Raw genomic sequence first — 25,148 nt, 5'->3', positions numbered from 1 at the left:
CTGGGATGACTCATGAGGTGGCCTGTCACAAAGAGCTCTCCACTATGATCAGAACAATGCTAATTAACGTAGCCTAATAAATGGGTTGACTTCCTCTTGGGTATTGATTGCAGAACAGAGAATACTGGGGTAGTCAAGAACAGGAAGAAGAAAAGAGAGAAGATACAGAGAAACAGAGAAGGGCTAGAAAGACCTCTGCAAGTCCACAGGGAATAATGAAATAAGAACAGGCACGAGTGGGTAAGGAATTGTGGACAAATTGAATGGTATATTCAAAAGACATGGAGCTTGTTTCAGACATTTACAGTAGTTAGAACTTGTATAGGCATGAACTGAAGGATGGAGTTTAGTTTCACTATTTGCTTCTCCTCTCATTCCAGACCTCTAAATCTTGTTGCTGTTGTTTTAAGGGCTACTTCTTGGGCCACTTTTATTTTCTATTTATATTCTTTACTTAGCAACTTCATTTTTACTCCAGACTTCAAGGTTATCTTAATGTTACCACTTTTCAAATAAATGTCTCCATCTAGCCCTCTGCTCTGAGCTGCAGACTCAAATATTCCCCTGCCTGTTTGAGCTCACCATCTGTATGTCTCACTAGCACCTCCATAAACATGTCTGAAATGGAATCTTTGACTCCTATGCCATTTCTGCTCCATCCCAAAAAAGAATACCGCCATCCTCTGGCATCCTTTCTAATGCCAGGAATCTAGGAGACATGCCTCCCTTCTACCTTTTCCTCATGCTCACTCTGACATCCACTGCCAAGCTATAACTGGGATCCATCCACTTTTTTCTATCTCTTCTTTTAGCAATTTAGGTCAAATCACTGGCATAGTCTAGGCCACCGTAATAGCTTCTGAATTTGTCTCTCCAATTTTCTTCTTGTCTCCATACTCCACCCATATGTCCTACAGTATTCCACGCTATATTTTCAGAGATAAGCCCCAGTACTACCTACTACTATTAACTTATATGTAGCTCTTAATATAGCTACACATTTTCTACATGTTAACTCATTTAAAGTAAACTAAGTCACATTGTTCCGTTACTTACAACTTTTCTTTTTTTTCTTTCTTTCTTCTTTCTTTTCTTTCCCTCTTTCTTTTCTTTCTTTTTCTTTCCCTTCCTTCCTTCCTGCCTTTCTTTCTCTTCCTTTCCTTTCCTTCCTTTTTTCTCTCTCTCCCTTTCTTTCTTTCTCTCCCTTCCCTCCTTCCTTCCTTCCTTCCTTCCTCTCTTTCTTTTCTTTTCCCTCTCTTTCTGTCTGTCTGTCTTTCCGTCTTTCTTTCTTTCTCTGTCTCTGTTGCCCAGGCTGGGGAGCAATGGCACAATCTCACCTCACTGCAACCTCCACCTCCTGGGCTCAAGCCAGCCTCCCACCTCAGCCTCCTGAGTAGCTGGGACTACAGGCACATGCCACCAAGCCCAGCTAATTTTTTGTATTTTTGATAGAGATCAGGTTTTTTTCATGTTTCCCAACCTGGGCTTGAACTCCTGGCCTTAAGGGATCCTCCTGCCTTGGCCTCCCAAAGTGCTGGGATTACAGGTGTGAGCCACAATGCCTGGCCTTTTTCCATGTATTTCTATTGTATTTAGGATAAACATAAAAATAAATAAATGCTCCCCCACCCCGAATTCTACATGAGCAAGCCACTGCCTGCTTCTCCAGTCTAAACTTGCCTCTCTCCCTTCCTATACTTAAGTCATACAAATCTCTCTTAATTTCCAAAATGTATTAAGTTCTTCCAGATGCAGCATCTTTTTGCCCCGTTTCCTGTGCTAGGAGCCCTCTTGTCTAGATTCTTTTGCTTTACTATTTCTTTCTGTCCTTTAAGTCACAGTTTCATTGTTACCCCCTTCTACAGACATGCCCTGACCATTCCATGTGAAAGATCCCTAAATCATGTAACTGACTTACTCTGAGTCATACAATCTGGCTTACTTATCACATGGCTCAAGACATAATTAATAACCATTATCATTATTTAAATACATGTTTCTTGTGTGTCTCCCACACTACAATGTATGCTTTGAAAATGAAGACTCTTGTCTATCTTGTTCTCCCTTGTACCCTCATGTTCTTAGCACTGTGCTTGCCTCCTAGTAGGTGCTTAGTAAATTTTTTTTTTGAGTGACTAGAGTATGTTTAGGAATTAGTCAGGGCATATGAGCAGCTACAATAAATCACTCCAAAATATCAGTGGTTTAGCAAAATATATTTATTCCTGGGTCAAATCAGTCCAATGCAAGTCAGTGAGGGTGGCAGAGACTCTTTCGTCGACATATAACTACTAAATTTATTTTAGAGACTCACATCTAGTTGGCTGATGGGAGAGAGAGAGAGGAAATGGTAAAGGCACACTTTCTCTTAAGTTTTCTAGGCAGAAATTTTTTGCCTAGTACAGCCAGTCCCCTCCTGGCTATATATAACATGTACAACATCACTGTGTGATTTCTCATGTTGCACCCTCTATCCCCATAAGATGTGGATCTTTTTGAAGTCAGGGACCTCAATTCCATCCTCTACTTCCACTTAGCACAGAAAAGTATAATGTTTGTATTATAAACTTAATTATTTCTGTTGATCAATTGATCAAAATGAGTATAAGAAGACTGAACACAGCCTGCTGGCAAAGAAAAATTCTGGAATAATCAATATACATAGGTTTAAATTACTTTCTTCAGTAAATTCTACTTGCTATATGGAACTGGGAAAGTAAATTTGACTGATCTCTTATTTTTCCTGTCAATAGCTTCTTATGTTATCATTACATTATAACAAATTAATAGCTTTTAATGGGTTGAAGCATGTTTTAAGTGTTACAGGCTATGCAAATGCCAAGTATCCCTCTAAACTTAATTTACAACCAGGATGCTTAAACCCTTTATCTTTAAACAAAAGCATGAAGACTTCATTTTCGTATGGTGTTCATTATTTGTATAGAAAGTAGCAAGTGAAGCATATATAAAGTTGTCTCAGAAAAAAAAAATAAAGAAGTGATATCACCACAATGGCAGAATAGGAAGTCTCAGATGCCACTCCCCATCACAGAAACTTCAACTAGCTCAGATCAGACGATATTTTTGAAAACCCACTACTTGGAAAGAAGCCTGAGACACCTATTGGGTCTGCAGAACTGAAGAAAGTCTGAATTAGAAAGGTAAGAAGAAAAGTCTCACTCCAACAGTGCTGCTCCTCCAATTTGGCAAAACATCAGACAGAGAGAATTTTCCTGGGTCCGCAATTTATGAAAGTGGGAAAAAGAACTGAAGGCAGTCATCTAGCTTCTCTAGCACTTCAAGATGCTTCCCAGAAAGCCCACTTCAAACTCACCTCGTGGGTAACACCAGGGGAAACAGCAGGAACAGACCACCAGGAGTCAGGTACAAACAAACAAAAAAAGAAGGCAAAGGTCACATAGTGACCAGTATGCAGATCTTGTACTTCTGGTAGTGCCAGCTGTGGCATTCTATTGCAGATACCAGCCAACTTTGCAGCCTATCTGCAAAAATGAGCTGGTTGCCTTCAGGAGCAAAATGGGAAGTTCAACCATAATTGGAAAAATGTAAGCCTGTAAAGATGTTACATAAGGCAATTGTATCCTTAGGAAGAGGATTAAAAGACAAAACTATTAATAATGATTATAGCTAAAATAAATGCTCAGGGATACAAGACACAAAATGATGGAAATTCTAGCATCAAAAACATAAAATCTGAAGCAGAGGAAAGTAAAAGTGTAAAGTTGTGGTATGCAATCAAAGTTAAGTTTTTTCAGCTTGAAATGGACTGCTATAGCTATAAGACATTCTATGTAAGCCTCATGATAACTGCAAGGCAAAAATCTTTATTAGAAGCACAAAACAACAACAAAGCGTTCTGTGCATATTACTACAGAAAACCGTCAAACTACAAAGGAAGATAGCCATAGAAGAAGAAAAAAAGTATTTACAAAACAACCAGAAAGCAATTATCAAAATGGCAGTTGTAAGTCCCTATCAATAATATGTTGAGTGTAAAAAAAATTAAATTATTTAATAAAAAGACATAGAGCAACTGGATTGAAACAAATAAAGGAAACAAGGCTCAATGAAATGCTGCCGGTAAGAGACTAACTTCCCTTTTAAGGATACACATAGACTGAAGGTGAATGATATGGTTTGCCTGTATCTCCACCCAAATTTCATCTTGAATTATAGCTCCCATAATTCTCATGTGTTGTGGGAAGGACCCAGTGGGAGAAAATCGAATCATGGGACATGGGCCTTTCCCACGGTGTTCTTGTGATAGTGAATTAATCTCATGAGATTTGATAGTTTTATAAAGGAGAGTTCTCCTGCACATGCTCTCTTCCTGCCACCATGCAAGGCATGCCTTTGCTTCTCCTTTGCCTTCCACCATGATTGTGAAGCCTCTCCAGCTATGTGAAACTGTGAGTCCCTTAAACCTCTTTCCTTTATAAATTACTGAGTCTCAGGTATGTCTTTATTATCAGTGTAAGAACAGATTAATACGGTGAAGGTATGAAAAAAGATATTCCAAGAAAATAGAAGCCAAAAGAGCATGGGCATCTATACTAACATAATAAAAAATAAACCTTAGGGCCAAAAACATTAAAAAAAAGACATAGGAGGGCATTATATAATGATAAAGGATCTATTCATCAAACAGATACAACCATTGTAAATATATATGCACTCAATATCAGAATACTTAAATATATAAAACAAATATTAGAAGATTTGAAGAGAGAGATAGATTGCAATTAAATACTAGTAAGATATTTCAATATCCCACTTTCAGTAGGGAAACATTAATAAGGAGATACTGAACTTAAACAACATTTTAGACCAAGTAGATCAAACGGACATGCATACATTTTACCCAACAACAACAGAATACACATTCTTCTCAAGCACACATGGAACATTCTCCAGGACAGATTACATGATAGGGCACAAAACAAGCCTCAGCCAATTTAAGAATAGCAAAATGATATCAAATATTATTTTTAAGTACAATGATAAAAATTAGAAACAGTAATAAAAGGAATTTTCTGAACAACAAATGGGTCAATAAATAAATTAAAAGAGAAACTGCAAAAGCATCTTGATACAAATAAAAATGAAAATATTATATAGCAAAATGTAGGGGATACATCAAAATCAGATCTAAAAGGGAAGTTCATAACAATAAATCCCCACATCTAAAAAGAAAAAAGACCTCAAATAAACAAGCTAACATTACACCTAACAGAATGAGAAAAAGAAAAACAACCCAAGCCCAAAGTCTGAAGAAGGAAAAAAATAACAAAAATCAGAGCAGAAATAAGTGAAATAGAGCCCAGAAAAACAACACAAAGCTCAACAAAACTAAGAGTTGTGTTTTGAAAAGATAAACAAAAAGTGAGGAACCTTTAGCTACACTAAGAAAAAAAAAAACAGGACTGGAATAAATAATATCAGAAATGAAAGATGAGACATTTGTACTAGTAATCCAGAAATACAAAGGATCATAAGAAACTACTGTGAACAATTACATCATCCCATTGGATAACCTAGAATAAATAAATGAATTCCTAGACATATACAACTTGCCAAGACTGAATCATGAAGACATAGAAAATCTGACAATTATAGCATACTTTCAAAATAAAAACTCTAACCAAATTAGGTATAGAAGTAATATACTTCAACATAACAAAGGCTATATATAAGAAGCCCACAGCTAACATTACATTCAGTGGTGAAAAATCAAAAGCCTTTCTTCTAATACCTGGAACAAGATGAGGATGTATGTTCCTGCTGAATCTATTCAAAGTTCTATTTTCAAAGTCCTACTTCAAAGCTACTTCTACTGAAAGTCCTTGCCAGAGATAAAAATAAAAGTCATACAAACAGGAAAGAAAAAAGTGAAACTGTCATTGTTTGCTAATGACATGATCTTAAAAAAAGAAAATCCTACAGACCCTACCAAAAAACTATGAGAACAAATGAGTACAACAAAATTACAGGAAACAAAATTAACACACAAAATTTGTAGCATTTGTATATACTAACAACAAACTACTTAAAAAGGAAATCAAGAGAACAATTTTATTTACAATAGTTATAAAAAGGTACTTAGGAATAAATTCAACTAAGGAGGCAAAAGACCTGTATATTAAGTTATAAAATGTTGATGAAAGACATTAAAGAATTCACAAAAATGAAAAGATATCCCTTTCTCATGGATCGAAAGTGTAAACATTATTGAAACATTCATACTTTCCAGAACAGTCTACAGATTTAATGAAATCTCTATCAAGATTCCATTATCATTTTTCATAAAAATAGAAAAACAATCTTAATATCTATATGGAGCCACAAATAAAACAAAAAGCAAAAGCAATCATGAGCAAAAACAACAGAGCTGCAGGTATCATACACCTGATTTCTAACTATACTACAAAACTATAGAAATTAAAACAGCATGGTACTGTTTAGAATAGACACATTGACTAATAAAGGAGAATACAGAGCCCAGAAGTGAATATACACATTCATATCAATTAATTTTCTACAAAAGTGGCAAGAATTTGCAATGGGAAAAGGATAGGCTCTTTAATAAATTTTATTGGGAAAATTAAATATCCACATATAGAAGAATAAAACTGAACCCTTATCTAATATCATACACTAAAATCAACTCAAAATACATTAAAAACTTAATTGTAAGGCAAGAAATTGTAAAACTACTGGAAGAAAACAGATGAAAAACCATGCAATGTTGAAAAAATCATCTGGGCAATAACTTTTTTTTTATTTGACTTTGAAAGTGCAAGCTACAAAAGCAATAATAGACAAACGGGATTACATGATACTAAAAATCTTCTGCGAAGTAAATAATTAACAATATGCAGAGACAACCTACGGATTGGGAGAAAATATTTTCAAGCCATGTATTCGATAATGAGTTAGTACTCAAAATATATAAAGAGCTCAAACAACTCAATGGGAATCAAACAAAACAAAAGAAACCAATTTTTAAAAGGGCAAGGGACCTCAACAGACATTTTTCAAAAGAAGACCTACAAAAGCCAAACAGACCTATGGAAAAATGCCCAACATTGCTAATTATTAGAGAAATTTAAATTAAAACCACAATGAGATATAATCTCAAACATGTCAGAATGGCTATTATCAAAAAGATAAAAGATAAGTTTGGGTGAGGATGTAGAGAAAAGGGAACCTTTGTACACTGTTGGTAGAATTGCAAATTAGTACAGGCATTTTGGAAAGTTCTATGGAAATTTCTCAAAAAAACTAAAAGTAGAATTACTATATGATCCAACATTCCCACTTATATTTACCCAAAATATTTAAAATCTATTTGTAAAGATGTCTGCAATCAGATGTTCATTACAGCACTAGTTACAATAGCCAAGAATGGATAAAGAAAATGCTGTATATACACACAATGAAATATTATTTAGCCTTAGAAAAGAAGGGAATTGTCATTTGAGGCAATGTAGATTAACCTGAAGGACATTATGCTAAGTGAAGTAAGCCAGCAACAGAAAGACAAGTACTCTATGTGCTTACTTGTATGTGGAATTTAAAACAATCAAACTCATAGAAGCAGAGAATAAGAATGGTGGTTACAGGGACTGGAGAGTAAGGAGAATGGAAAGATGATGATCAAATGGTACAAAATCTCAGACAGGAAGGATTTTTTAAAGATACGTTTCACAGTGTGGTGAATATAGGTAATAATAGGTACAATATTAATAGGTAATTGTACATATTATTATCCATATTATTACTATATTATTACAAAATAGGTGAGAGAAAACTTCAAATGTTCTCCCCACAAAAATGTTAAGTACTTGAGTTGATAAATATGTTAACTACTATAGTTTATTTCACATTGTATTCATAAATCATAACATCTTTTTATTCCATAAATATACACAATTAAAAACTGTCAATTTATAATGTTAAAATAAAGACAATCAAATGTTAAATGAAAAATTAAATTTGTCTTTGAAATAGAAACGATGTCATTTTATATAAGCTTATAAAACTGTATAAAAATTTTTTCAGGCAAGTGTTTGCCCCATTTAAAATAAATTTGATGAAAAGTCCTAGCGTTCAGATCCCTTGATAATATTTATAGTTTTCACACTCTACCCTTCAGTCTTAGGAAGGTTCTAATTATTGAATTGCTATCTTTTAGTAATATAACACTCCCCAAATGATTATATTATTATTAGCATTTTTGACATAGAATATAGCACAATAGTTTTGTTTCTCTTTACAATTTAAATTTACTTTGAATGATTATTCTAGCTTATTTTACTTATCTTATGACTGGCATCATTTATATAAAAGAAACTCAAGGTAAAGTCAACAAAATGTGAATCTCAAATTTCAGAACCTAAACACCAATATATCCCAACAATATTATTGATAAGTATTCCATTAAAGGTTGTGCACCAAAAAGGTAATTTTTTAATCTTATAGTTTTTAGTGGGCATTTGCATATGACTTCCTTTGATCCTTACTGAAAGCATGAATTAGTTGACATGTACAAGTGGTACCAGTTTTCCAAGGTCCATTTTGTAAATTAGGAAAATTTTAGAGGGATTAAATTTTGCTCCATATTTCACTAACTGTGAAAGTTAGATACTGTGCAACCAAACATTCTAAAATGCAGTAACTTAAAAAACATACATTGTTCATGATTCTCTTCTTATTTATTATTTTTTAATTTAAGTTCTAGGGCACATGTGTATGTATACATGTGCCATGTTGGTGTGCTGCACCCACTAACTCGTCTTTTACATTAGGTATATCTCCTAATGCTATCCCTGCACCTTCCCCCCAACCAAGGACAGGCCCCGGTGTGTGGTGTTCCCCACCCTGTGTCCAAGTGTTCTCATTGTTCAATTCCCACCTATGAGTGAGAATATGCAGTGTTTGGTTTTTTGTCCTTGCGATAGTTTGCTGAGAATGATGGTTTCCAGCTTCATCCATGTCCCTACAAATGACATGAACTCATCCTTTTTTATGGCTGCATAGTATTCCATGGTGTATATGTGCCACATTTTCTTAATCCAGTCTATCATTGATGGACATTCGGGTTGGTTCCAAGTCTTTGCTATTGTGAATAGTGCCACAATAAACATACATGTGCACGTGTCTTTATAGCAGCATGATTTATAATCCTTTGGGTATATACCCAGTAATGGGATGGCTGGGTTAAATGGTATTTCTAGTTCTAATCCTTGAGGAATCACCACACTGTCTTCCACAATGGTTGACCTAGTTTACAGTCCCACCAACAGTGTAAAAGTGTTCCTATTTCTCCACATCCTCTGACTCTTTAATGATCGCCATTCTAACTGGTGTGAGATGGTATCTCATTGTGGTTTTGATTTGCATTTCTCTGATGGCCAGTGATGATGAGCATTTTTTCATGTGTCTGTTGGCTGCATAAATGTCTTCTTTGGAGAAGTGTCTGTTCATGACCTTTGCCCACTTTTTGATGGGGTTGTTTGTTTTTTTCTTGTAAATGTGTTGGTGTTCATTGTAGATTCTGGATATTAGCCCTTTGTCAGATGGGTAGATTGTAAAAATGTTCTCCCATTCTGTAGGTTGCCTGTTCACTCTGATGGTAGTTTCTTTTGCTGTGCAGAAGCTCTTTAGTTTAATTAGATCCCATTTGTCAATTTTGGCTTTTATTGCCATTGCTTTTGGTGTTTTAGACATGAAGTCGTTGCCCATGCCTATGTCCTGAATGGTATTGCCTAGGTTTTCTTCTAGGGTTTTTATGGTTTTAGGTCTGACATTTAAGTCTTTAATCCATCTTGAATTAATTTTTCTATAAGGTGTAAGGAAGGGATCCAGTTTCAGCTTTCTACATATAGCTAGCCAGTTTTCCCAGCATGATTTATTAATAGGGAATCCTTTCCCCATTGCTTGTTTTTGTCAGGTTTGTCAAAAATCAGATGGTTGTAGATGGGTGATATTATTTCTAAGGGCTCTGTTCTGTTCCGTTGGTCTATATCTCTGTTTCGGTACCAGTACCATGCTGTTTTGGTTACTGTAGCCTTGTAGTATAGTTTGAAGTCAGGTAGCGTGATGCCTCCAGCTTTGTTCTTTTGGCTTAGGATTGACTTGGCAATGCAGGCTTTTTTTTGGTTCCATATGAACTTTAAAGTAGTTTTTTCCAATTCTGTGAAGAAAGTCATTGGTAGCTTGATGGGGATGGCATTGAATCTGTAAATTACCTTGGGCAGTATGGCCATTTTCACAATATTGATTCTTCCTATCCATGAGCACAGAATGTTCTTCCATTTGTTTGTGTCCTCTTTTATTTTGTTGAACAGTGGTTTGTAGTTCTCCTTGAAGAGGTCCTTCACATCCCTTGTAAGTTGGATTCCTAGGTATTTTATTCTCTTTGAAGCAATTGTGAATGGGAGTTCACTCATGGTTTGGCTATCTGTTTGTGTGTTATTGGTGTATAGGAATGTTTGTCATTTTTGCGCATTGATTTTGTATCCTGAGACTTTGCTGAAGTTGCTTATCAGCTTAAGGAGATTTTGGACTGAGACGATGGGGTTTTCTAGATATACAATCATGTCATCTGCAAACAGGGACAATTTGACTTCCTCTTTTCCTAATTGAATACCCTTTATTTCTTTCTCCTGCCTGATTGCCCTGGCCAGAAGTTCCAACACTATGTTGAATAGGAGTGGTGAGAGAGGGCATCCCTGTCTTGTGCCAGTTTTCAAAGGGAATGCTTCCAGTTTTTGCCCATTTGGTATGATATTGGCTGTGGGTTTGTCATACATAGCTCTAATTATTTTGGGATATATTGTATCAATAACTAATTTATTGAGAGTTTTTAGCAGGAAGGGCTGTTGAATTTTGTCAAAGGCCTTTTCTGCATCTATTGAAATAATCATGTGGTTTTTGTCTTTGGTTCTGTTTATATGATGGATTATGTTTATTGATTTGCAAATGTTGAACCAGGCTTGCATCCCAGGGATGAAGCCCACCTGATCATGGTGGATAAGCTTTTTGATGTGCTGCTGGATATGGTTTGCCAGTATTGTATTGAGGATTTTTGCATCGATGTTCATCAGGGATATTAGTCTAACATTCTCTTTTTTTGTTGTGTCCCTGCCAGGCTTTGGTATCAGGATGATGCTGGCCTCATAAGATGAGTTAGGGAGGATTCCCTCTTTTTCTATTGATTGGAATAGTTTCAGAAGGAATGGTACCAGCTCCTCTTTTTGCCTCTGGTAGAATTTGGCTGTGAATCCATCTGGTCCTGCACTTTTTTTGGTTGGTAGGCTCTTAATTATTGCCTCAATTTCAGAGCCTGTTATTGGTCTATTCAGGGATTCAACTTCTTCCTGGTTTAGTCTTGTGAGGGTGTATGTGTCCAGGAATTTATCCATTTCTTCTAGATTTTCTAGTTTATTTGTGTAGAGGTGTTTATAGTATTCTCTAATGGTAGTTTATATCACTGTGGGATCGGTGCTGATACTCCCTTTATCATTTTTTATTGTGTGTATTTGATTCTTCTCTCTTTTCTTCTTTATTAGTCTTGCTAGCGGTCTATCAATTTTGTTGATCTTTTCAAAAATCCAGCTCCTGGATTCACTGATTTTTTGAAGAGTTTTTTGTGTCTCTATCTCTGTCAGTTCTGCTCTGATCTTAGTTATTTCTTGCCTTCTGCTAGCTTTTGAATGTGTTTGCTCTTGTTTCTCTAGTTCTTTTAATTGTGATGTTAGGGTGTCAATTTTAGATCTTTCCTGCTTTCTTTTGTGGGAATTTAGTGCTATAAATTTCCTTCTACACACTGCTTTAAATGTGTCCCAGAGATTCTGGTATGTTATGTCTTTGTTCTCATTGGTTTCAAATAACATCTTTATTTCTGTCTTCATTTTGTTAGGTACCCAGTAGTCATTCAGGTGCAGGTTGTTCAGTTTTCATGTAGTTGAGCAGTTTTGAGTGAGTTTCTTAATCCTGAGTTCTAGTTTGATTGCACTGTGGTCTGAGAGACAGTTTGTTATAATTTCTATTCTTCTACATTTGCTGAGGAGTGCTTTACTTCCAAGTATGTGGTCAATTTTGGAATAAGTGCAATGTGTTGCTGAGAACAATGTATATTCTGTTGATTTGGGGTGGAGAGTTCTGTAGACGTCTATTAGGTGTCTATTAGGTCTGCTTGGTGTAGAGCTGAGTTCAATTGCTGGATATCCTTGTTAACTTTCTGTCTCATGGATCTGTCTAATGTTGACAATGGGGTGTTAAATTCTCCCATTATTATTGTGTGGGAGTCTAAGTCTCTTGTAGGTCTCTAAGGATTTGCTTTATGAATTTGGGTGCTCCTGTATTGGGTACATACATATTTAGGATAGTTAGCTTTTCTTGTTGGATTGATCCCTTTACCATTATGTAATGGCCTCTTTGTCTCTTTTGATCTTTGTTGGTTTAAAGTCTGTTTTATCAGAGACTAGGATTGCAACCCCTGCTTTTTTTGTTTTCCATTTGCTTGGTAGATCTTCCTCCATCCCTTTATTTTGAGCCTATGTGTGTCTCTACACGTGAGATGGGTCTCCTGAATACAGCACACTGATGGGTCTTGACTCTTTATCCAATTTGCCAGTCTGTGTCTTGTAATTGGAGCATTTGGCCCATTTACATTTAAGGTTAATATTGTTATGTGTGAATTTGATCCTGTCATTATCATCTTAGCTGGTTATTTTGCTTGTTAGTTGATGTAGTTTCTTCCTAGCCTCAATGGTCTTTACAATTTGGCATGTTTTTGCAGTGGCTGGTAACGGTTTTTCCTTTTCATGTTTAGTGCTTCCTTCAGGTGCTCTTGTAAGCTAGGCCTGGTGGTGACAAAATCTCTCAGCATTTGCTTGTCTATAAAGGATTTTATTTCTCCTTCCCTTATGAAGCTTAGTTTGGGGGGATATGAAATTCTGGGTTGAAAATTCTTTTCTTTAAGAATGTTGAATATTGGCCCCCACTCTCTTCTGGCTTATAGAGTTTCTGCCAAGACATCCGCTGTTAGTCTGATTGGCTTCCCTTTGTGGGTAATCTGACCTTTCTCTCTGGCTTCCCTTAACATTTTTTCCTTCATTTCAACTTTGGTGAATCTGAAAATTATTTGTCTTGGAGTTGCTCTTCCTGAGGAGTATCTTTGTGGCATTCTCTGTTTTTCCTGAATTTGAATGTTGGCCTGCCTTGCTAGGTTGGGGAAGTTCTCCTGGATAATATCCTGAAGAGTGTTTTCCAGTTGCTCCATATTTTCTCCAATACTTGGTTTGATTGGTCTTTAACTTTTTAGACATTAGAATTGGTTTATAGTGATTCCTCATTGCAGTTATAATTTGTATTTTTCTAATGAAAGCATATATATTCATTTCCTAGTGCACCATTCTAATATCAACTTTGGTGAAGTGTCTGTTCAGAGCTCTCATCCACTTTTTATTAAAAGAGGTATTGAAATTTAAGAGTCTTTATATAATCTAAATACAAATACTTTGTCAGATATTTTGCTTTATAGATATTTTCTTCTAGATCATGGCTTGCCGTTTCATTTTTGCAAGAGTGACAACTTTTTTCATTTTAGAATCAGGGGTACATGTGCAGGTTTGTTACATGAGTATATTGCACAATGCTGAGGTTTACAGTACAAATTAATCTGTCACCCATGCAGTGAGCACAGTACCCAATAGGTAGTTTTTCAGCCCCGTCCCTCTCCCTCTCAATATCTAAGTCCCATATGCGGCATTGGGTTTTCTATTTTTTCTTTAGTTAGCTTAGGCTAATGGCCTCCAGCTGCATCTATGTTGCTGCAAAGGACATGATTTCAATTTCTATGGCTGCATAGTAGTCCACGGTGTATATATATGAAAACGTCATATATATTTATCCCATCCACCATTGATGGGCATTTGGATTTATTCCATGTCTTCGCTATTATGAAGAGTGCTGCAGTGAACATATGAGAGTGCATGTGTCTTTATGGTAGAGCAATTTGTTTTCCTTTGAGTATATACCCAGTAACAGTATTGCTGGGTCAGATAGTGGTTCAACTCTGTTCCTCAAGAAATCTCCAAACTGCTTTCTCCAGTGGCTAAACTATTTTATATTCCAACCAAAAGTTTGTAACTATTTCCTTTTCTCTGCAGCCTCATCAACATCTGTTATTTTTGGCTTTTTAACAAAAGCCATTCGACTGGTGTGAGATGGTAACTCACTGTGGTTTTGATTTGCATTTCTCTGATTATTAGTGATGATGAGCATTTTTTTCATGTTTGTTGGATGTGTGTATTACTTCTTTGGAGAAGTGTCTGTTCATATCCTTTGCCTACTGTTTAATGATGTTATTTCTTTTTTGCTTGTTGATTTGTTTAAGTACTTTATAGATTATGGGTCTTAGACCTTTGTCAGATGTATTGTTTGCAAATATTTCCTCCCATGATGTAGGCTGTCTCTTTACTCCCTTGATAGCTTCTTATGAGTGATTATTGAAAGACTAAAGTTTTTAATTCTGAAGTTCAAACTGCTGATTTTTTTCCACTGTCATGTTTACTCTTTATACCCTATTTTAAGAAATCTTTGCTGAATGCTTTCTTTCAGAAATTTTCTACTTTTAATTTTTTAAACTCATATCTATAATCCATTTGAGTTAACTGTTGTATGTGGTGTGAGATTTTAAAACCGCCTATATCAATAATTACATTTAAGTAGTCTAAATGTTCCAAATAAACAACAGAGAGTATCAGATTAAATAAAAGGGTAAGATTGAATTATATATTGTCTACAAGAAAGGGGCTTTAAATGTAAAAACAGAGATATATTAAAAGTAAACATAAAGACATAAGATACATTGTGCTAATGAAGGGCTGTGTAAATATCAAAAAAATATATTTTAGGACAAATAATATTGACAGATAAGAAATATTTCAGAAGAAATGATACAAGTGTAAAATTATCAAAAATACATAGCAATTATAAATATGTGTGCACCTGCTAATAATACTTTAAAATATATGAAGCAAATATATTAAGCAAAACTGCTCAAAATTAAAAGAATCAATAGATAAACCTGCAACTACAGTTAGATCTTTCTACCCACATATAATTGATATAAAAAGTAAGCAGAAAATAAGGAAGTGTTTTAAAAACTTGAAAAACATCAAATGGATAAGTAGACTGAAAATAAGTAAGTACATAGAAGACTTAAAATCAGCCTAATTGAGCTGATGTATGTAGTTGGCACACTGCACTCAACAGCAACAGAACTTATGCATGTTTTTCACGTGCACATGAAATTTCACCAAGATAGACCACATGCTGTGCCATCAAATAAATCTCAATAAATTCAAAAAGATTGAAATCTTACAGAATCCATTCTCTGCCCACAATGTGTTAAATTAAGAATCAGTAGAAAACAGATATTTGGAAAAGCACTAAATAATGGGAACTTACAAAACAAAATATCTACATAAGCAATAGGTCAAAAAAGATCAATTGGTCAAAAAACAGATACTCCTGGAGAAATTGGAAAAATATTTTGATCTTAATGTAAACAACATCACAAGATATCAAAATCTGTGGAATGCAGCCAAAGCTGTATTTATAACTCTAAGTGCTTAGAAATAAAAAAGGCAAAATTAATAATTTAAGTTTCCAATTTAATAAGCTGTAAAAATTGGCAGTAGGAAGTGAATAATAATACAAATAAAAATTAATGAATTAAAGCAAAAAGATAAGCCATTAAAAACAATGAATACAAAAGTTGCATATTTTAGATTACTAATAAAATTGAGAAATTCTGAGCAAGACTAATAGAAAAAGAGATAAAATGATAAATTATTAATACCAGAAAGATATTATCACAGATCCTATAGCTATTAAGACGATAATACCATATTATGCATAACTTTATATCTATGAATTTGACAACATAGATGAAGTTGCTAAATTTCATGAAAAATATACTTAGAAAACCTTCCACAAGGCCGGGCGCGGTGGCTCACGCCTGTAATCCCAGTACTTTGGCAAGCCGAGGCGGGCTGATCACCTGAGGTCAGGAGTTAGAGACAAGCCTAGCCAACATGGTAAAACCCCGTCTCTACTAAAAATACAAAAATTAACCCGGCATGGTGGCGGGCGCCTGTAATCCCAGCTATTTGGGAAGCTGAGGCACAAGAATCTCTTGAATTTGGGAGGCAGAGGCTGCAGTGAGCCCAGAGAGCGCCACTGCACTCCAGTCGGGGTGACAAGAGCGAAACTCCGTCTCAAAAAACAAAACAAAACAAAACAAAACCTTCCTCAAGAAATCAGGAAAATCTGAATAGTTTTTATGTTTATTAAAGAATTTTTATTTATCAAAAACCTTACTGTAAAAAACAAAAAGCCAGGGTGTTTTTATTGTTGGTTTTTAGAAATGATTTGTGAAGAAATTATACTAATTTTACGCAAACACTTTTAGAAAATAAAGGAGGAAACACTTTGTAATTCATTTTAAGAGGCCAGAATAATAAAAGTAGAGAAAAATATTACAAGAAAAGTACAAACAAAATTCTCATTAGCACTGGCACAAAAATATTTAACAAAATACTAGCTAATTAAATCCAACAATACTTAAAAAATTATATCATATTAAAGTATGACTTCTCCCAGGAATGTAAGATTTAATAAACATGAGAAATCAATATACATAATTTACAAAGAAATCGATACGTATAATTCAATACATATAATTCAAGAAAGTGAAGAAGAAATTTGATCACTCTGTAGAAGCAAAGAAAACATAAGCCAAAATTCAATGTCCATTTATGATTTTAAAAAACCCTTTTAACAAACTGTGCAAAAAAGATACCTTCCTCAAACTGACAGAGTCTCTACCATGGAACCATCACTGGAACCACTTTAAGTGATGAACACAAACACTTCACTCCTAAAAGACTGAAAAACATAAGAGCATCATATTTACTACTGTTGAAATATTGTAATGGAGATCCAGGTGAATGCAATAAGGCAAAAAAAGGCAGGCAGACTAGAAATAAATAAGTAATATTGTCTTTATTTATAAGTGACATAATCACAATTATGTATGCCAAAAATCCTATGAAATGTACAAAAAAATTTATCAGAACTAAAAAGTGAGTTTAGCGTGGTCATGGTCGCAGCATATAAGCTTCACATATAAAAATCCATTGTCTCTCTCTACAAAAGTAATGATTAATGAAAAAAATAAAATACACTGTTTCCCATAGCATCAAAAATCAAGAAATATTTAGGAATAATTTAAATAAAATACTGAACAGATAACTGCAAACATTGCTAAAATAAATTAAAGCAAACCTATCTAAATAAATGAGATATATTGTATGCATTTGATTGGAAGATGTATTATTAAGATGTCAGTTATCTCCAAACTGATATTTAGATTCAATATAATTCCATTCAATATCCAGCAGGGCTTTTTGAGAAATTTGGCAAACTGATTATCAAATGTATATGGAGAACTCAAAGAACCAAAGTCAAAAATACTTAGAAACAAAAGTATACATTTAGATCACTTACCCTAGACGATATCAAGATATACTGTAAAGATTCAGTAATCAAGGTAGGGTTATATTGGCACAGTGATACACATAAGATCAATGGAACAAAACAGAGGCCAGAAATATACCTTCATACATAGGGTCAAGTGATATTTGACAAAGTGTCATGGTAATTCAATGGGGACATGATAATACCTTTCATCAAATGGTAGAACAACCAGGTATCTATATGGCAAAAAATGAACACTGACAATAACCTCTGACCATACACAAAAATGAACTCCACAAGGATCTCAAAATAGTATTTTATATTTGCAAATACTGGCTTTTATCCTATTAAAGGCAGATCATCCGTTGTTTCGTTGTTCCAGTGAAGATCATTCTGCTTCTTAGTGAACAGTTAATTTCCTATACCCAGAGACAAATAGATCAGTAAAAATTTTAAAAAGCCAACATGACATTGCAGAGATTATACTAAAATTGCAACTGCAAGTTTGTCGGAAATTGTACTGTTCAAGCAGAAAATCATAGTTTGGGGCATTATGTCTACCGATTAAGACAAAGTCTGAAAATATTTCTGTGAAAATATGCATAATAAGTTAATCCTAATGTATCTTTTACTCAATTACACTCTATTGTCACTGGTGCCTTTTATTTAAATTAGTAAACTTTATTTTTTAAAACAATTTTAGATTTACAGAAAAATTGAGCAGACAGTACAAAGATTTCCCATATATTCCCCTCCCTCCAGCAATTTCCCCCACATTAACCTGTTACATTAGTATAGTATATTTGTTACAATTAATAAACCAATATTGATAAATCATTATTAACTAAAGTGCAATATTACTATGGGTTTGGACAAATGTATATCATCATTTGTATACCATTACAGTATCAGAAGGAACAATTTTGCCACTCATATTGGATTAGAAGAATAATAATAGGCTCATCACTTTAAAAATTCCCTGTGCTTTCCATACTCAGCCCTCTCTCTTTTAACTACCATTCCCCTACCCACAACCACTGATCTTTCCAGTATCTATAGCTTTGCTTTTTCCAAAATACCATATAGTAGGAATCATAGAGCACGTAATCTCTTCAGGCTGACTTTTTACATAACAATATACACTTAAGGTTTCAAACTCCTTGTCGTGTTTGTTCTTTGGTAACTCATTTCTTCTATCACTGAATAATATTCCATTGCATGGGTATACCATAGTCTGTTTATCCATTCACCTATTGAAGGACATCTTGATTGTTTTCAGTTTTCTATTCTTATAAATTAATCTTCTCTAAGAAATCACGTGTAGGTTTTTGTATGGTTATGTTTTCAACTCAATTGGGTAAACACCTTGGAAAATGGTTGCTGGAATATATTGTAAAACCATGTTTAGCTGTGTAAGAAACTGCTAAAAGGAATTCCAAAGCGACCATTTTACATTCCCACTGGCCATTGCTCATGCATTCATGAGTGTCCTTGCTGCATGACACCCGTATTAGCATTTTGTATTACCAGTTTTGGGGATTTTAGTCAATAGGTATGTAATAGTATCTTATTGTTTGATGTTGCAATTATCTAATGTCCTATGACGTTGAACATATTTTCATGTTTCTTTATCATGTGTATATTTTTGGGGGGGAGGTGTCTGTTCTGATCTTTTGTCCATTTTTTAATTGGGTCATTTATTTTCTTTTTGTTTCAAGAGGTTTTTTGTACATTTTGTATACAGGTTCTTAATCAGATAGTATTTTGAAAATACTTTCTCCCAGTCTGATTTGTTTTTCACAATCCTAACAGTGTCGTTTCAGAGCAGAAGTTTTTAATTTCAATGAAGTCCAAATTACCAATTTTTTTCTTTAATAAATGGTACTTTTGGTGTTATATCAAAAAAGACATCACCAAAGCCATCATCTAGATTTTCTCCTGTGGCATCTTCTAGAAGTTTCATTGTTTTGTGTTTTGCATTTATGTTTCTGATTCATTTGGAGTTAGTTTTTGTGAAATATATGATGTCTGTGTCTAGATATTTTGCATATAAATATCCAGTTGTTCCACACCATTTGTGGAAATGACTATCCTTTCTCCAGTGAAATGCCTTTTCTCTTTTGTCAAAGATCCATTGATTATATTTGTATGGGTCTATCTGGGGGCTATCTATTCCATTTATCTATTTGTCTTTTCTTTTGCCAATATCATGTTGACTTGTTGACTGCAGCTTTATATAAGTTTTGAAGTTGGATGGTGTCAGCCTTCTGACTTTGTTTTTCTCTTTAATACAGTGTTGACTATTCTGGCTATTTTCCCTTTCAATATAAACCTTATAATTAGTGTGTCAATATTCACAAATTAACTGGCTGGGATTTTAACTGAGATTGTGTTGAATCTGTAGACGAACTTGGGAAGAACGGAAATCTTGATAATACTGAGTCTTATTACTCATGTAAATAAAATTTCTCAATTTATTAAGATCTTCTTGGATTTCCTTCATCAGAACTTTGTAGTTTTCCTCATACAGATCCTGTAAATATTTTGTTGCAGTTATACTTAATATTTCATATTTTGCATATTAATATAAAGTTTTTTTTATTTTTATTTTTAATTATTATGGATCCATAATTGTTGCATATATTAATGGAAAACATATGATGTTTTCACACAGGCATACAATGTGTAATGATCAAATCAGAGTAATTGGAATATCCATCACCTCAAACCTTTGTCATTTCCTTGTATTGGAACATTTCAATTCCACTCTTTTAGTTACTTTAAGATATACAATAAATTATTGTTAACTATAGCCATCCTATTGTGCTACCAAATACTATAACTTTTTCATTCTAATTGTTTTTGAATGAAATTCCAATTGTTTCTGGTTGGTATATAGGAAAATGATTGAGTTTTGAATATTACTCTTATATCTTGCCACTTTTCTATAGTTTTTTTCCTTCTAGGATTTTTTCCTAGTACTTCTACTGCAATGTTGAATTGAAGTCGTTGAAACAGTCATCACCTTGCCTTGTTCTTGATCTTAGAAGAAACGCATTCAGTCTTTCACCATTTGGTGTGATGTTAGCTGTGCATTGTTCATATATGGTCTTTATTATGTTGAAATAGTTTTATTTTATTCTTATTTTAGGGCTTCTTATCATGAAAGGGCATTGAATTTTGCCAAATGCCTTTCTTCATTAATCAAAATGATTATCTGTATTTTGTCCCTTCATTCTCTTCATGTGATGTAATAAATTGATTAATTTGTATATGTTAAACCATTCTTACATTCCATGAATAAATCCCACTTGGTTGTGGTATATAATTTCTTTAATGGACTGTGTAATTCTGTTTGCTACTTTTTTAAAGGGTTTTTGGATCAATACTCTTAAGGGATATTGGTCTATAGTTTTTTGTAGTGTCCTTTTCTGACTTTGGCATCAGGGCAATGATGGCCTCAGAGAATGAGTTAGGAAATGTTCTCTCCTTTTCAATTTTTTAAAGGATTTTAAGATGGATTGATATTAATTTTTATTTAAATGTTTGGTAGAACGCATTAGTGAAGGTATCTGGTTATGGGCTATTTTTTGGTAAGTTTTAGAACACTGATTTAATCTTACTACTATATAACTATAGGTCTATTCAGATTTTCTATTGCCTCTTGAGTCAATCTAGGTTGTATGTTCTTAAGAATGTGTCTATTTTCATCTAGGCTACCCAATTTGTTGATATGTAATACAAGAGAGTAATATATGCATTACTATATATATATACATAAATAAATATATATAATATATACAAATATATATAAATATATCATATATACATATATAAAGAGAGAGAGAGAGAGAGAAAGAGAGAGAGAGAGATAGTAATACAGCCCTCTCCTGGGGTAATCTTTTAATTTTTTTTTATTTCTGTAAAATTGGTAGTGATGCCACAACTTCAATTTCTGAATTTAGTAATTTGAGTCCTCTCGGGTTTTTTTTCTACTCAGTCTGAGTTTGTCAATTTTGGTGATTTTTTCAAAGAATCAATTCTTATTTTCATTGATTTTCTTTATTATTTTCTATTCTCTATGTTATTCATTTCTTTTCTAGGCTATATTTCCTTCTGTCTCCTAGCTTTGGGTTTAATTTTTTAAATAGCTTCTAGAAGCATAAAGTTACATTGTTAATTTCAGGTGTTTCTTCTCTTTTAATATAATATAATGTATAGCTATAAATTGTTCTCTAAGCATTTCAGTGCTACATGCCATATGTATGGGTATATTGTATTCACATCTTCATCTGACCAAAGATATTGTCGAATTTCTCTTAGGATTTCTTATGAGACCTGTTGGTTGCTGAAGACTGTATTGCCCAATTTCTACATATTTGTGTATTTTCCAATAGTCCTACTGCTGTTAATTTATAGTTTTATTTCACATGGTCAAAAAGAGACAGTTTGTATGATTCAGTCTTTTAAAATGTATTAAGACTTGGGTTTTGGCCTAAAAAATGGTCTCTCCTGGAGAACATTCCATGTGCTTTTGGGGAAATACAATATATCCTGTTATAGCTGGGCAAAGCATTCCTTATATTCTATTAAATCTTATTGGTATATAATGTAATTTAAGTCTTTTACTTCTTTATTGATCCTCTGTCTTGTTCTATTCATTATTGAATGTGTGACATTGATGTATCCTACTCTTATTGTAGATCTATCTATTTCTGTCTTCATTTCTGTCAACATTTGCTTCACGTATCTATGACCTGATATTTAGTGCATATACAAGAGTTCCTTCTTATCTGCAGAAAATAAGTTTCAAGACTCCTAGTGGATGCCTGAAACCCATGGATAGTGCTGAATTCCATATTTAATATTGTTTTCAATGTGATAACAGAGACAGCTATGTTTCAAGACTAACAGTGGTTGCCTGAAACACATAGATACTGCTGAATTCCATATTTAATATTTTTTTCAATCTGAAAACTGAGACAGCTATGTTTCAAGACTGCCAGTGGATGCCTGATACCCATGGATAGTGCTGAATTCCATATTTAATATTGTTTTCAATGTGATAACTGAGACAGCTATGTTTCAAGACTAACAGTGGGTGCCTGAAACCCACAGATACTGCTGAATTCCATATTTAATATTTTTTTCAATCTGAAAACTGAAACAGCCATGTTTCAGGACTTCCAGTTGGTGCCTCAAACCCATGGATAGTGCTGAACTCCATATTTAATATTTTTTTCAAACTGATAACTGAGACAGCTACTAAGTGACTAATGGGAAGATAGCATATATACAACATGGAAACAGTAGAAAAAACTGATGAGTCACATACGAGGCAGGACACAACAGGACAGAGTGAGATTTCATCACACTACTTAGAATGGCACACAATGTAAAACTTATGAATTGTTTATTTCTGAATTTATTTAATAATTTTGGACAATGGTTGACTGTGTGTAACTGAGACCATGAAAAGCAAAACCATAGGCAAGACAGAAATACTGTCTGTTTATATTTGTTGTATCTTCTTGCTGAATTTACCTTTTTAATCAATATAGAACATTCTTTGTTTCTCATAACAGTTTCTACTTAAAGTTTATTTTGTGTGATATCAGTATAGCCACCATTGCTCTCTTTTTGTTACTATTTGCATAAAATAACCTTTATCTTTATTTTTACTTTTAGCCTATGAACGTTTGAACGTTCTTAGATCCGAATTGAATCTCTTGTAGACAGCATATAATTGGATTTTTTTAAATCTATTATAGCAATCTATATCGTTTGTGTATGAGTGTATTCGTCCGGATTCTCCAAATAAATTGAATAGGATACAAACACACACATACAAACACACACACACATACACACACAGAGATTGAGAGAGAGAGAGACTTATGAAAATTAACTCACAATGTTGTGGAGGCTGAGAAGTCCTGTGATGTGCTGTTGGCAAACTGGGAAATCAGGAAAGTTGGTGGTATAATTCAGTTCAAGTCTGAAAGCCTAAGAGCCAGGAGAACCAATTGTATAAGTCCTGGAGTCTGAGGCCCAAGAACCAGGAACTCCAATGTCCAAGGGTAGGAGAAGATATATGGCTTCCTTGCTCAAGAAGATAGACAGAGAGAACTCACCCTTCTTCTACCCTTTTGTTCTATTTGGACCTTCAACAGATTGAACCAACACTACACACATTGGTGAGGTCAGATATTCTTTACTCAGTCTACTGATTCAAATGCTAATCTCTTCCAGAAACATTAATACAGACACACCCAGAAATTATGTTTCACCAGCTATCTGAGCATGTCTTAGCCTGATCAAGTTGACACATAAAATTAACCATCATAGGGGGTTTAATCCCTTTGAACTTAAAGTATTTACTGATAGGGAAAAACTTACTTTTGTCAATTTGTTGTTTTCTGTGTCTTATAGTTTTATGCCTCTCATTGCTTTAATTACTACTATCCTTTGTGTTCAGTTCATTTTTTCTAGTGACACATTTTTATTTCTTTCTCATTTTCATTGTGTATATTCCATATATATTTTCTATGTGGTTACCATGGGTACTACATGTAACATCTTAGAGTTATAACAATCTATTTTAATTCATACCAACATAATTTCAATGGCATACAAAAATTGCACAACTTTAAGCTTCATCTCCCCTTTATGTTTTTGATACCCCAAATTACATATTTATAAATTGTCTACACATAAACTTAAGCATATGATTATTTTTATGCATTTGTTTTTTAAAATCCTGTGGAAGAATAAAACACAAGAGTTAAAACCAAAATTACAAAAATACTGGTTTTTATATTTGTTCATATATATTGCTTAACCAGAGAATTTTAGATTTTTGTATGGCTTTGAGCTACTGTCTAGCATCCATTTATATGAACTAAAATGGCTCAATTTAGCATTTATTGTATGTAATCCAGCCCTGATAGTACTGAACTCCCTCAACTTTTGTTTTTCTTGAGTCTCTTAATTTCTCCCTCATTTAAAATAAGGAATATTTTAAAGAAATATTTTGTTATCAGATATAGAATTCTCAGTTGACGAAGTTTTTTTTCTTTCTTTTTCCTTCTCTCAGCCCCTTAAATATATCATCCTACTGTGTCCTGTCCCCTAAGGTTTCTCCTAAGAAATCTACTGATGATTTTACAGAGGATCCCATGAACATGATGAGTCATTTTTCTCTTGCCAATTTCAAGATTTTCTGCTGTTTGATTTCAGCAATTACATTATAATATGTTTCAGCATGGATCTCATTGGGTTTATTCTACTTAGACTTCATTGAGTTATTGACATTGTATATTCATGCTCTTTCTCCAATTTCAGAAGTTTTCTACTTTGTTCCTTCAAATAGTCTCTCCATCTTGTTCTCTTTATCTTCTTTTGAGACTTCTATAATTCATATATTGGTCCATTTGTCAGTGTCTTATAATTTCATTAGGCTCTTTTTCACTTTGTTTCTTTTTTCTCCTCACGCTCAATTTCAAATGAACTGTTTTTAAGTTTGCTAACTCCTTATTCTGCCTGTCTGAGTCTGCTGTTGAATCCCCACTAAT

The 25,148-nt window shown here is 33.9% G+C and overlaps 1 long non-coding RNA gene across 19 annotated transcripts in view; it reads right to left on the bottom strand.

Annotated features, from left to right (window-relative positions):
* LOC105376944 (uncharacterized) overlaps positions 1-25,148 on the bottom strand; it is a 246,298-nt gene that overhangs the window by 135,115 nt on the left and 86,035 nt on the right. For 2 of the 19 annotated variants that reach the window (NR_188700.1, NR_188696.1), the window contains exon 2: positions 23,488-23,580. The exons of the other annotated variants lie outside the window; for them this stretch is intronic. This is a non-coding gene — a long non-coding RNA (uncharacterized LOC105376944). The remainder of the gene's footprint in view (positions 1-23,487; positions 23,581-25,148) is intronic. 19 annotated transcript variants of the gene reach the window in all.

The sequence above is a fragment of the Homo sapiens genome, chromosome 3 (assembly GCF_000001405.40).
Source record: "Homo sapiens chromosome 3, GRCh38.p14 Primary Assembly".
Classification (NCBI taxonomy): domain Eukaryota; kingdom Metazoa; phylum Chordata; class Mammalia; order Primates; family Hominidae; genus Homo; species Homo sapiens.
This window is presented reverse-complemented; position numbering and strand designations above follow the sequence as displayed.